The sequence below is a fragment of the Homo sapiens genome, chromosome 18 (assembly GCF_000001405.40).
Source record: "Homo sapiens chromosome 18, GRCh38.p14 Primary Assembly".
Classification (NCBI taxonomy): domain Eukaryota; kingdom Metazoa; phylum Chordata; class Mammalia; order Primates; family Hominidae; genus Homo; species Homo sapiens.
This window is the reverse complement of record NC_000018.10, coordinates 50,394,967-50,408,687: the sequence shown is the minus strand read 5'-3', so window position 1 is coordinate 50,408,687 and position 13,721 is coordinate 50,394,967. Positions and strand designations below refer to the sequence as shown.

Sequence of the window (13,721 nt, the reverse complement as noted above, 5' to 3'; positions counted from 1 at the left end):
TTAATTTAGGAGTCTTTTATTAGCTGGCGACTGAGAGACGGCCAGCCCTCAAAATTCTCTCAGCCCCGAAGAAGGGGCTAGATTTTCTTTTATACTTTGGTTTAGAGGGGGGAGGGGAAGCCTAGCTGTAGCAATCTTACAGAAGTAAAACAGGCAAAAAAAGTTGAAAAGACAAATGGTTACAGGAAAACAAACAGTTCCAGGTGCAGGGGCTTTAAATCCATCACAAGGTAATAGGTGCGAGGGCTTTGGGTGCTATCTACCAGACACAAACGCGGGGGCTTAGGGTACTATCACCTGGGTGAATTTCTGGGAACTGTGGACATAACTTGCCACAGTACCTTATTGGTTAATTGCACTCTTTGATGTGCTGGGAGTCAGCTTGTACAAGTTAAGTCCTTGAGGAAGGGGGTGGGTAAGGAGCCCTTGATGTCTTGCAAATGAAGGAGCCAAATGGAGTCCGTCCAGCTTTCTCAGCTAAGGGAGGGTCTATTCATATTAAAACAAGGTAAGGTAATACATTCCCCACTTGTGTTTTTGGGGAATCAAATCATTGATTCCTCAGTTATAACAAGGGTGTTATATTGGGTTTTAAGATATATAAGCTTGACAGAAGCTATGCGTTGCTTTATAAAGTTAAGAAACCAATTTAATATACACAGCCTGAAGACTAAGCCTAACAGTAGGAGGAGAAGGGGGCTAGCTAGCCTAGTGATTAAAGTAGTCAGCCATGGATTCTAGTTAAACATACTTTGGTACCAAGGGGTGCTATTTTCCTATTTTTGCTGGCGTTTATCTAGATTTTTTGGATGGTGAACATAGTTTTAACATTAAATCTCGAGATATAAAGCCTTAATCTCTATGACAGGTCACAATACCATTGAGCTGAACCAGGGTTACAGACAGTTATAGTAAGAGGGTTACAATTTTTCATAGTACACAGTCTAGGATGGGAAGTGTGAGTTATGGAGAGGGTTGAGGACCAGGTGATCCTCTAGGGTAAGTGGCTAGGGTCACACAAAACCAGTGAGGGCAGAAAAATTGGTAAGAATCGTGACAACTAGAGTCAGGGTGATTTTTAGGACAGAGGTAAAAGTCAATGCTCTGGAGTCCTTTTTTTTTCACTTTTAGAGTTTTTACATCCAGTCCGGCTTCCTGTGTGTCCGAACCCTGTAGCAAGGTTGATGTTCCCCGCTTCTATGCGGCAGGTTGCATTGTTCTTCAAGGTTATGGGCAGGCTCTGGGAACAAAGCACATAAATCGACTGCAAAAGAGACTTTCTTGGAGGTTCTTGCCTTCCAAGTAGTGTTTGCAAATACACGTCCTGTCGTGAAAGAAGTGAGAAGAATAGGAAGGCACGGAGGGCATAACAGGTGGAAATAAACAAGAGAGATAAATAAAAAGAATTAATCTAAAGGCTTCACTCGACTTAGGCACAGTTTTAAGGGGCCTGGCCTATGCTTGGGGACCTATGTTTCTTGTTGGGCTCTGTTGGCCTTTTTGATGTGAGTGATGAATCTAAGCAGGAATGCTGGCCACTTCCAGAGCTGTCGGCATGGTGAGGATGACAGTATGAGGTCCTTTCTAAGCAGGAGTGAGTCCTTCTTTCTGGAACTTTTTTTTTTTTTTTAAACTTTAACCTGGAACTTTTTAACACCAGGTCACCCGGTGGGAACGAGTGGCAGGGCCCCGTCTGGTCAGGAACTGGACTGGGATGAGCTCCCCAGACAAGTGGCGGATGATATCTCGTACCTGTTGGAGAGACTGTAGGTACTGTAATAAATTAGCTTGTGAGATTTCTGCTAAACGGGTATCCTTTAGCTTAGGCAAGATAGGCGGAGCCCTCCTATATGTGATTTCAAAAGGTGAAAACCCAGCCCGGTAAGGAATGCATCTTACTTTAAGAAGGGTTAAAGGAAGGAGTCTTACCTAATTTTTACCGGTCTCTAAGATCAATTTTGTAAGAGTATTTTTTAGGGTGTGATTCATGTGTTCTACCCATCCAGAGCTCTGGGGTCGATAGGCACAACTGAGCTTCCATTGAATGTTTAATGCCTTACTGACTGACTGAGCTATGGACGAGGTGAAGGCCGATCTATTATCAGACCCCATGGCAGCAGGCAGCCCATGTTGAGGGATGATTTCATTGAGTGAAAACTTAACTACCGTGGTGGCAGTCTCGTTTTTGGTGGCAAATGCCTCAGTCTATCCAGAAAAGGTGTCTACTAGTACCTGAAGGTATTTGTACCCTGCCCAGTGTGGTTTTATTTCTGTAATTTCCCACCTTTCTCCTGGTGAGTCTCCCTGGAGGCGGTCGCCTGAGCTGGGTTTAGGACCTTGCTTAGTGTTTACCTGGGCACAAGCCGTACACCAGAGAGCTGCTTGGTTAACTAAGTCCTGAAGGTTGGGGATCTTGAAACGGCTCCTTAGAAGCTGGGCCAGTTTTACTCCTCCTTCCTGATTTTTACTGGCCTGAAGATCCGAAGCCTGTTTTTCCTCCTCTGGGGAATATTCTGGGTGATCTGACAAGTCAGGTTGCGGAAAGGACACTGCAGGCAGCAGGGTCGGAGGCGCGACTGGCAGTTGAGCTGGCCCCCAGGCTGCAGAGTCTGCTCTTTGGTTACCATGGGCAACGGCCGTGTCTTCTTTTTGATGTCCTTTGCAGTGAATTACAGCCACCTGTTGAGGTAGGCAAACAGCTTCAAGCAGGGCCAAAATTTCTTCTTAGTTTTTGATAGCCTTTCCTGCTGAGGTGAGTAGCCCACGCACTTGGTAGATGGCTCCATGTACACGCACAGTAGCAAAAAGCATACCTGCTGTCAGTGTAAATGTTAATACATTTGTCCTTACCCGTCGGAGGGCCTGAATGAGAGCAACCAATTCAGCTTTTTGTGCTGAGGTACCTGCTGGCAATGCCTGAGTCTGCAGTTTATCCGTCTCCATAGTAACAGCCGCACCAGCCTTTCGTACTCCTTGTTTAAGGAGGCTGCTACTGTCTGTAAACACGGTAGCATCCACCTCCTTTAAAGGCACATCTTGGAGATCAGGTCGGACAGTTTCTGTAGTCTCTCACAGTTCCTGGCAGTCATGGACAGGTGTGGTGAAGTCTGGATCAGGGAGCAAAGTAGCTGGATTTAAACACCTTGTGGGAGAGAAAGTTAAACGAGGCCAATCTAACAGTAAAACTCTGATACTGCAGGATGCGAGCATTTGACATCCATTTGCCAGAAGCACTTTGCAGCAAAGTCTCTATGGCACGAGGAGCCGTAAGAGTTAAATTTTGACTTAGAGTCAGTTTATCAGTCTCCTGAATCAGGCTTGCTGTGGCTGCTATGGCCCACAGACAACTTGTCCACCTGGAGGCCACTGGGTCCAGTCTTTTAGACAAATAGATGCCTGGGCATCACCATGGCCCTCCGCTGTGACGGTCTCCATGGGCTTCCGGGGGCCAAGAGAGAGGGAGCCCCGGCCCTTTTAATCATCAGATTCCTCTGCTGCGGGGAGATTGAGGACCTTTGTGGGGAAAATAGAGAGAGATCAGACTGTTACTCTATGTAGAAAGAAGTAGACATAAGAAACTCCATTTTGTTCTGTACTAAGAGAAATTCTTCTGCCTTGAGATGCTGTTAATCTGTAACCCTAGCCCCAACCCTGTGCTTGCAGAGACATGTGCTATGTTGACTCAAGGTTTAATGGATTTAGGGCTGTGCAGGATGTGCTTTGTTGAAAATGTGTTTGAAGGCAGTATGCTTGGTAAGTCATTGCCATTCTCTAATCTCGAGTACCCAGGGACACAATGCATTGCAGAAGGCCACAGGGACCTCTGCCCAGGAAAGCCATGTATTGTCCAAGCTTTCTCCCCATGTGACAGCCTGAGATATGGCCTCGTGGGAAGGGAAAGACCTGACCGTCCCCCAGCACAACACCCGTAAAGGGTCTGTGCTGAGGAGGATTAGTGAAAGAGGAAGAAGCCCTCTTTGCAATTAAGAGGAAGGCATCCGTCTCCTGCTCGTCCCTGGGAATGGAATGTCTCAGTGTAAAACAAAATCATACGTTCTATTTACTGAGATAGGAAAAAACTGTCTTATGGCTGGAGGTGAAACATGCTGGCGGCAATACTGCTCTTTAATGCACCGAGATGTTTGTGTAAAGTCAAACATAAATCTGGCCTACGTCCTCATCAAGGCACAGCACCTTTCCTCAAACTTATTTATGACACAGAGATCTTTGCTCACATGTTTTCCTGCTGACCCTCTCCCCACCATTACCCTATAGTCCTGCCACATCCCCCTCTCCGAGATGGTAGAGATAGTGATCAATAAATACTGATGGAACTCAGAGACCAGGGCCGGCGCAGGTCCTCTGTATGCTAAGCGCTGGTCCCCTGGGCCCACAGTTCTTTCTCTATACTTTGTCTCTGTGTCTTCTTTTCTCACTCTTTTGACCCACCTGATGAGAAACACCCACAGGTGTGGAGGGGCTGGCCCCCTTCAGACCTTTTTCTTTTCTGGTTTCTCCTCTGGCTTTAATGGGCATTATTTTTCCCTCTGGTTTAAATGGGCATTCTTTTTTCCAGTGTCCTATCTGCTTGCAATAAGTGCATTGGTTTTTCTGTAGGGAAGCCTACTCACTTTTCTGGCCTTTCTGTTGTGGAACCGGGGTCCCCTGGCTAGTGTTCTGTGATGGGGGCCCCTCCTTTCTGGCTTCCCGGATGGCGACCACTAAGATTTTCGGTTGTCTTTTGGATGTTTCATCAGCAGCCTTTTCAGCTGCCTGTTTTTGTTTCTCGAACTCTTGACTGTCAAAAATTCTCTGGGCTACTTCTAAAAGCTGGCTAATGTTCATTCCAGCAAATCCTTCCAGTTTTTGTAATTTTTTTCTAATATCAGAGGCGCCTGAGCCACAAATGCCAAATTAATAACACGGCTCTTCTCGGGAGCCGCTGGGTCAAAAGGGGTGTAAGTCCGATAGGCCTCCTGGAGGCATTCTAAAAATGCTCCAGGTTACTCACCAGGCCCCTGGACAACTTCAGTTGTCCTAGACAGATTCATGGTTTTCGAGCGGCTCCCTTGATACCCGCAAGGAGATAACGGTGAAAATTATCCAAAGCTCTCTTCCCACCTGAGGAGTTCAGATCTCAATCAGGCCGGGTAGAGGGAAAAACCTCCTCAAGGAGGTTTTGGGCTTCCCCCTCCGGTCTACCGGCTAATGTAAGGAAATACTTTCTGGCTTCTCTTCGGATACGATCCCTCTCTTCAGAGGTGAAGAGGGTTAAAAGGAGTTGTTGACAGTCATCCCAGGTGGGCTGATGGGTCCAGAGCACCGACTCCATCAGTGAGGTCAAGACCTGGGGCTTTTCAGAAAAGGAGGGATTATGAGCCTTCCGTTGCACAGGTCAGAAGTAGAAAAGGGGACATAAACCAAGAATGGAGCTGAGCACTCATCACCCGCAGGGACTTGTGCCTCTCTCAGCAGGAGGAGGGGGGCTACCTCCTCCTGCTGTGGCCTCAATCAGGAGGCAATAGGCAGAGAGCCCACAGGGGATGTAGTCGAGGAGACAAGGGAAGATTCTAAGGGAGCAGGAGGGTTATAAGGCGGCAGAACTGGGTGAGGGAGACTTTCCTCTTCTTCAGAAGGAGGCAATACAGGAGGAGCCGAGCCGGCTGAGGGTCGAGGCGAAAGTGAGGTCTGGCTCAAAATGACCTTGGAGGTAGGATTAGGAATGGCGCATGAGTGGAGCCATGGATGAGAGCTCCGGACCAAACTCAGCCATTGATCAATGTAGGGAAACTGATCAGGGTGACCAGGAGTTCCAGCAACAACCCGCCACACAGCCTGAACAATTGCGAGGTTCAGTGACCCGGCTCCAAACTTTGGCCATTCTACTCCACAGAGTGTCCAGAGTTTGCCTTTTTTAAGGCGGACCCCATAATCCTCGGAGAAGCCTAGAGAGAAATTTTGTAACATACATTGGAGAGGGCTCCAATCTTTATGAGACTGGGAAGAAGAGTTTCCCATTCTGGAGGCAGTTTAACAAAGTTTGAGCAGAGATATTAAACCCAGCATGGACAGAGAAATTCATGACCTGGAGGGGCTGGAGTATCGGAAGAATAGAAGCATCATAACCAAAAGAAGTAGGAAAACAGCTATAGCCAGCGCTTCTTGCCACATAAGGTCTGTTTCCTTAAGCTCCAAGATTTAGGGAGAGGACAAGAGATGGGTGCGAGGCTAGTGGGACCTACGTGATCCCCCTCTCCTCTCTGACTTATAGTCTAAATATTTTTGGCGTCTCCACGACTTGAAGGCAAAAAGTTCAAACTTTGCCCTTTCTTTTAAGGATTTTAGGAGGGAGAGCGGAGCCAAGTCTTGGAGGCGCTGGACTTGCTGTGGCACAGGAAAACGGGATGTGCGGGGTAAGGGATGGGGATGAGGAGGAAAGGGGCCACTCAGATCTTTTCAGGCTGGGAGGAGCCCTGCTGAGCAGCACGGGGTTGCCAGGATGACTCCGCGGTACCCCGCCCCGCCTCCAGGCCCTGTCAGGCACTGCAAGCCCAGCTCAGAAGTCTGGCCCGGGGCCAAGGTCACCACAGCAGGCCGGGCCTCTGCGTTCTAAGCCAGGTGCAGATACGCTGGTGCTCGGGGAAGTCGGGGGCTTTGACGCCTGAAGGCGCAGGAGCCGGGAGCCTGCAGGGGTCTCTGGGGAAGGGGGTCCCCTCCCACTCCTCGCCTTCGGGTCTGGGAGCCCCTGCCAAGGAGGAGCGCCTGGCTCCTGGGCCCGGCAACCCGAAGAGACACACCTGAGACCTCCTGTGTTAGAAATCTGCACTCAGGACTTTGAAGTCCTTGCCCAGTTGTCTTGGGCAATATCGACGACCTGACATACGAAAGTTAGACACAAGACAGGACCGTAGACACTAAACAGGACAATAGACACTGGGGTATATAAACAATTATGACAATTTTTATAGACAGACAAGGGGAGGGGGTCCCATGATGGAATCAGTCAGATGCCCGCCTGGCTGTTCCCGAGGGGACTTAGGCTCCTCTTAGCATTGGCAGGCGGTATAAACCCCCGGCTCGGATCGAGCTATGCCCGATGCTGCCTTAAGCCTTATGAGGTCACCACGGAACTGCAGGTGAGGGCCCACTCGAACTCCGTAGCTTTCGCCCTGGAGGTACAAACTGGAAATTCAAGCGCAAGCCCTTGAACTCCACATTCACGCACTCATTCACACAGTTTACAACAGTTTTCTTATTCCCGTTCTATAACAGAGGTCTCCGGGAGACCTGAACGAGAGAAGCAGAAGAGATAAAGAAAGAGGGAGGGAGAGAGAGACTAATCTTAACAGAGAGGCCGGGCTGCCAGAAACCGGGACTCTGTCCTTCAGCATCCTGCAACGCAGGCAGAGTCAAGGGAGGGCCCTTGTCAGGGCCGCTTCCCTCCCAGAGAAACAGAGTCAGATCTGACTTACCTTCCCGGGACCAGAAACTGAGGATCAGGAGTTGAATTTTTGTGGGCACACACTGGTGGTCGATCCATTCCCCTCCGGAAGACGGGGTCTTATGGGGCCCTGGAATGTCTTCAGGTGGCACCTCCCCTATAAGTCCGCCGTCTGTCCGGGGGAGCCTGGAATGAGTCCAGCTCTCACCCAGAGGTGAATATCTCGTTGGGGCCTCCAAATGTTGTAACCAAGCGAGTTATGGAGAAACGCTACACTTTGAGATTAATTCAGGAGTCCTTTATTAGCTGGCGACCGAGAGATGGCTAGCCCTCAAAATTCTCTCGGCCCCGAAGGGGCTAGATTTTCTTTTATACTTTGGTTTAGAGAGGGGAGGGGAAGCCTAGCTGTAGCAATCTTACAGAAGTAAAACAGGCAAAAAAAGTTAAAAAGACAAATGGTTACAGGAAAACAAACAGTTCCAGGTGCAGGGGCTTTAAATCCATCACAAGGTGATAGGTGCGAGGGCTTTGGCTGCTATCTACCAGACACAAACGCGGGGGCTTAGGGTACTATCACTTGGGCGAATTTCTGGGAACTGTGGACATAGCTTGCCACAGTACCTTATTGGCTAATTGCACTCTTTGATGTGCTGGGAGTCAGCTTGCACGAGTCCTTGAGGAAGGGGGTGGGTAAGGAGCCCTTGATGTCTTGCAAATGAAGGAGCCAAATGGAGTCTGTCTGGCTTTCTCAGCTAAGGGAGAGTCTGTTCATATTAAAACAAGGTAAGGTATCACATAGTGAAGTGACTAAGAGGGTACAGCAAGACACTACTACTATACTAATGTGGCAGGCCGGGTCTCACTAACGCAGGCCTCCATAACAACTATTTCAGCACTGACTGAGTGGCTACATTAAATATTAAAAGCTGAAAGAGCCGGTACCCCAAAACAAGGCTAGAATGTAACAAAAGCCCACCAAGAGTTTTGCCCAGGCTTTTCCTGTACCTTAAAGCATGATTAAACAGGTTTTATTGTGAGTCTAAAGAAACTCCCCAGGCCTCCACAAACGAGTTTATTGGGGGTCTGAAGAAACTCCCCAAACCGCCAAGATTTAGCAGGAGACAAGATAAGGGTAATTACCCCAGCACCTGGACCCATTTAGATTAAGCAAATTTACTGAGGCTCCAGAGGAAGGTCTTCAAGACTCAGACCTTAGGTATAGATTAAAAGAAGTTAATCACTTAGGTCTTTAGATGAATGCACACTTACATATAGACATATAGCTTAGAAGGTATATAAGCTCTGGAAAACTTCGTAATTTTGAGTTTGTCTGGTGATAATTTCTAGGCCTTCTCCCTGTAAGTGGTTGCAGAAATAAAAACTCCCTTCCTCCCCAGTCCATCTGCATCTCGTTATTGGGCCACGAGAAATAGGAGCCCGGCCCTCAGTGTGGTCTGGGAACACTAAGACAGAAGGGATTATGGGAGAAAGTGGTATCACTAGAGGCTATTTGCCAGGCCATCCAGATAAAGCTACTATAGTTTCAACCTACAGAGTGGAGAATTACACTGCATGGTTTCCCATTGCCCAGTGGGAAATGGAACCACAAAAAGAGGGCTGGTTGGAGTAGTCAGTGCCACACAGGAGACACAGCCTGCCAAGGATACCAACCCAAAGCAAAGCGAGACAGGATGAAATTTCTGGCTTCTCCCCCTCTCCAACATGCCAATCTTCCACTAGCACTTCCTATTGGCTAAACCCAGTCAGAAGCCATTTGGTAAGGGAGACTGAAAAACTAGTTCCTTGCAAATCACAGCAGAGAAATAGGTGGCTGATGATACCAGTTCCTGATGCTACTCCCTACCCCGCATCCATGGCTCCTGCTCCATAGACAGGATCTGGATGGGGCAGCTGGTGAAAAACTGTTCCTCCTTTTCCCCCAGCTCCTACTCCATACTACAGAGGTTCAGTCCACAGGGGGTGGAAGCAAGTCTCAAAGACTAGCAATACCCTGCCCCTGCGAAGGGGCTTGACTGCAACTGAATCAGACTGTAGAGCAATTTAAGCCCCAGGGCACTGTCAAGAACAACAGACCAATCACCTAGCAATTAATGGAGGCTAACAGCCATGTGAGATACCAACAGAGGCAGACCTGCTAGAAGCTCAATGGGAAGATCAGGAAAGAAGATAGTCAAATCATTGAACTAGCTCAGCCAAATCACTGCAGCTGTTATACATGTGTTCAAAGATCTAAAGGGAACCATGTTTAAAGGAAGCCTAATGACAATGTCTCATCAAATATAGAATATCAATACAAAGATAGAAATTGTAAGAAAGAACCAAATGAAAATTCTGGAATTTAAAAGCACAAAAACAGGAACCAAAGAAAGAATCGGCAAACTTGAAGATAGATCAATAGAGATCATATATTTGAAGAATACAGAGAAAGAACAGAAATAATAGGAGGGAAAATAAAGACAAATGAGCAGAGCTTCAGAGAAAAGTGGGGCACCATTAAGTGCACCAACATATTTGTAATGCAAGTACAGGAGTGGAAAGAAAGTGTAACACCAAAAGGTTCTTGCCTTAGCCACGCCAAAGAATTGGTGTGGTGGCAGCCTGCGGCAAGAGAGAGACACGGATCGGACCGAGAGAAAAAAAAAAGCTGTAGGCTTTATTGAGCAGTGACAGTATAAAGCTTCCACAGCGTGGAAGGGGTCCCAAGCGGGTAGCCAGTGTTAGATTTTTCGATCACCTTTTAAACTCTTCAGGCGGGAAATACGTGCCGCAGGAAGATGTTACCAGAGCGAGAAACAAAGACAACACGTCTCAGATCTTGAGGAAAACTGGAATTGTAACTTAAGTTTTATCTACTTTATGACCTTGCAGCGACATGGCAAAAGAGACAGGATCTCACGGGAGTTTACAAATTGTGTTTAAAAGGAATTGGAATTGGGAGCATAGATACGGTCTGCCTCTGTGGGTCACAGAAAAACAGGCTTTTAACATTCCTTTTAGTTTCAGGGGAGGGGGAAGGGAGAGAGGGAGAGAGGACACAGGGAAGCTTACATCAAAATTTTCGCTGTTTATAGCTTTCTTGGGGAAGAAAACACAGGCACAAATTCTGATATTAGGAATATTTTAAGCATATATCTTCAGTATTATTCATCCAGGACCAAAGTAAGTCCTGATGCAGGAAATGAGTGAGTTTCACAGCTTTCTGAGCCCCAAGTCGACCCAGGAAGCCCAACTGGCACCTCCTCTGAAAAGGAGCACGCGCACACACACACAAATTAAAAGAAATAGCTGAAAACTTCCAAAATTTAATTAAAAACCATAAATTCGTGTATCAAGAAGCTCAGAGAACTCCAAGTAGGACAAATACAAGACCATCAACATCCAAATACATCATAATCAAAATGTAGAAAGACAAAAAAATCTTTTCTCCCTAAGTTGTGGCAGGCCAGGTCTCACTAATGCAGGCCTCCATAATAACTGTTTCAGTACTGAGTGGTTAAGTTGAATATTAAAAGCTAGTGCTCTTATACAAAGGCTGGGATGTAACAAAAGCCCACCAAGAGTTTTGCCTTGGCCTTTCCTGGGCCTTAAAGCATGACAAAATAACGAAGCAATTCTTAATAGGACACATTTAGGATTAAATAAGTTTTACTGTGGGTCTGAAGAAACTCCCCTGGCCTCCACAAACAAGTTTATTGGGGGTGTGAAGGAACTCCCCAAACCTCTAATTTAGCAGGAGACAAGATAAGGGTAATTACCCCAGCACCTGGACCCATTTAGATTAAGTAAATTTACTGAGGCTCCAGAGGAAGGTCCTTAGGACTCAGACCTTCTGGGAACATAGTGACTATTCATGAAGTGATTGCTACCATCTTTTCTTTCAGGAAATCTCTACCTCAACAGCAGGTTTGAGCCCTCTCCTTCCCTCTAAGCAGCGGCCTCCCTTGCACAGCCCCTGAGGCAAGAAACCCCGTCTTATCCCTTCCATATCAGCTTACACCCAGGGGACCCTTGCCCAACAGGCAGTCTTCCTGGAGGAGGTTGGCAGTATGTTTAAACCAGTCCACAGGATCCATAGCAAGGCGCTTTAAGCAGAGAAGTCCATGTGCTGTTCAGACATCTGGCAGGAACTTGCCCTGCCAAAGGGATGCAGACTGTCCTTTTTTTTTTTTTTTTTTCTTTTGAGGCAGAGTTTCGTTCTTGTCTCCCAGGCTGGAGTGCAATGGTGCAATCTCTGCTCATTGCAACCTCTGCCTCCCAGGTTCAAGTGATTCTCCTGCCTCAGCCTCCCGAGTAGCTGGGATTACAGGCATGCGCCACCACGCCCGGCTAATTTTTTGTATTTTTTTTTAGTAGAGACGGGGTTTCTCCATGTTGGTCAGGCTGGTCTCGAACTCCCAACCTCAGGTGATCCGCCCACCTTGGCCTCCCAAAGTGCTGGGATTACAGGCGTGAGCCACCCCGCCCGGCCCAGACTGTCCTTGTACTAGCTCCCCTCTCTCCTCTCCTCTGTATCACACTGTAGTGTCACTGTCACTGGGCACTGTATCAAGCTTGATGGCTGAAGAGGCATCGTGTTAATGGTGGAGGGTGTCCAGGTTCTTGGCATCTTGAACAAAGAATTGGACAAAATGCACAAAGCAAGGAAGGAATAGTTTTATTGAAAATGAAAGTACACTCCACAGTGTGGGAGCAGGTCTGAGCATAGGGACTCAAAGGCCCCGTAACAGAATTCTGGGGAGTTTACATACCCTCTACTTGGGGTATGCCCTATGTAAATGAAGAGGATGAAGTGATAAAATCATTTACTTGGCCTACGCCCTATGGAGAGGATATTTCCTGTCATAGCTGAAGTGTGAATCAGCCTTATGTTCCTTGCCTCCAGACCCTATTTTCCTGCCTCAATTGGGCTGGTTTTTAGGATATCCATCTCCCTTTAATTGCACTCTCAAGTTTCACCAGTACTTCTCTCACCTCCTACCCCCAAGTGGAGTCAGCAAGGGCAACCAGGTGACTGCCGTGATTATCTTGTTACAGAAGATAAGAAGACTGTGGTTCTAAGAGATTAACTAACTGAAGCTTGTACTGCGTGTCAGTAGCATAACCAGGATTTGAACTCTGGTTAGCCTTCTCACCCCAAAGTCCATTACACTGCCTCAATAAATGTCTTTTACATACATATATTTACTAATAAGATTGTGTAATGACATTTCATTAATAAAAACGAGTGGGGTTTCAAAACAGATTGCTTTATGTCAGGTTGCTTTACGTCATAAAGCAAAACAGATTGCTTTATGTTTCCAAAACATATTTCATGGAGCATTAGTATGCCCAGAGATATGAATACGTATTCCTCAGAAATAACGAAAGAGGTAATGGAAGTAACTCTCCACAAGTAGAATGTGTGCTCCACTACACAGCCTGTCTCTGTTGGAGATTTAGAAAATAAATGGGTAAGATGAAGGACTTCAGAAGTCATGAAATAATAAAATCTGCTTATCTTTACTTAACTAAGCACATCTCACACTCTTATAACCACAGAATCCTTATTAAAACCATCTATGGGCTGGGTGCAGTGGCTCACGCCTATAATCCCGACACTTTGGGAGGCCGAGGGTGATTGCTTTAGCCCGGGAGTTCAAGACTAGCCTGGGCAACATAGCAAGACTCTGTCTCTACAAAAAATACAAAATAAAAAAAAAAGCCAGGCATGGTGGCATGCACCTGTTTGGGAGGCTGATGTGAGAGGATGGCTTCAACCTGGGAGGTGGAGGCAGTGAACCAATATCACACCACTGTACTCCAGCCTGGACATCAGAGTGAGATTCTGGCAAGAAGAAGAAGATAAAGACAAAGAAGAAGACAAAGACGAAGAAGAAGAAGGAGGAGGAGGAGGAGAAGGGGAAGAAGGAGGAAGAGGAGAGGGAGAAGGAAAAGGAAGAGAAGGAGGAGGAGAAGAAAGAGAAGGAGGAAAAGGAGGAGAAGAAGAGAAAAAGAAAAATTGTATTAGTCTGTTCTCACACTGCTAATAAAGACATACCCAAGAATAGGTAATTTATAAAGGAAAGAGGTTTAATGGACTCACAGTTCCTCATGGCTGGGGAGACCTCACAATCATGGCGGAAGGCAAATGAGGAGCCAAGTCATGTCTTACATGGCAGCAGGCAAGAGAGCTTGTGCAGGGGAAGTCCCATTTATAAAACTATCAGATCGCGTGAGACTCATTAATTACACCATGAGAACAGCATGGGGAAAACCACCC

General features: G+C 47.0%; 1 long non-coding RNA gene across 1 annotated transcript, besides 2 other annotated features; it reads right to left on the bottom strand.

Annotated features, from left to right (window-relative positions):
- LOC105372115 (uncharacterized) lies at positions 1-7,785 on the bottom strand. Its single transcript, XR_007066368.1, has 2 exons — positions 7,473-7,785; positions 1-3,513 (listed from the first exon to the last, which is right to left on the bottom strand). It is a non-coding gene; the product is annotated as an uncharacterized LOC105372115 (long non-coding RNA).
- Positions 7,844-8,361: an enhancer, noted in NCBI's record as "NANOG hESC enhancer chr18:47926697-47927214 (GRCh37/hg19 assembly coordinates)". NCBI's record gives its function as "activates a minimal SCP1, AML or CMV promoter by ChIP-STARR-seq in naive H9 embryonic stem cells {active_cell/tissue: H9 hESC(naive)}" and the evidence as "EXISTENCE:reporter gene assay evidence [ECO:0000049][PMID:30033119]".
- Positions 9,968-10,667: an enhancer, noted in NCBI's record as "H3K27ac hESC enhancer chr18:47924391-47925090 (GRCh37/hg19 assembly coordinates)". NCBI's record gives its function as "activates a minimal SCP1, AML or CMV promoter by ChIP-STARR-seq in naive H9 embryonic stem cells {active_cell/tissue: H9 hESC(naive)}" and the evidence as "EXISTENCE:reporter gene assay evidence [ECO:0000049][PMID:30033119]".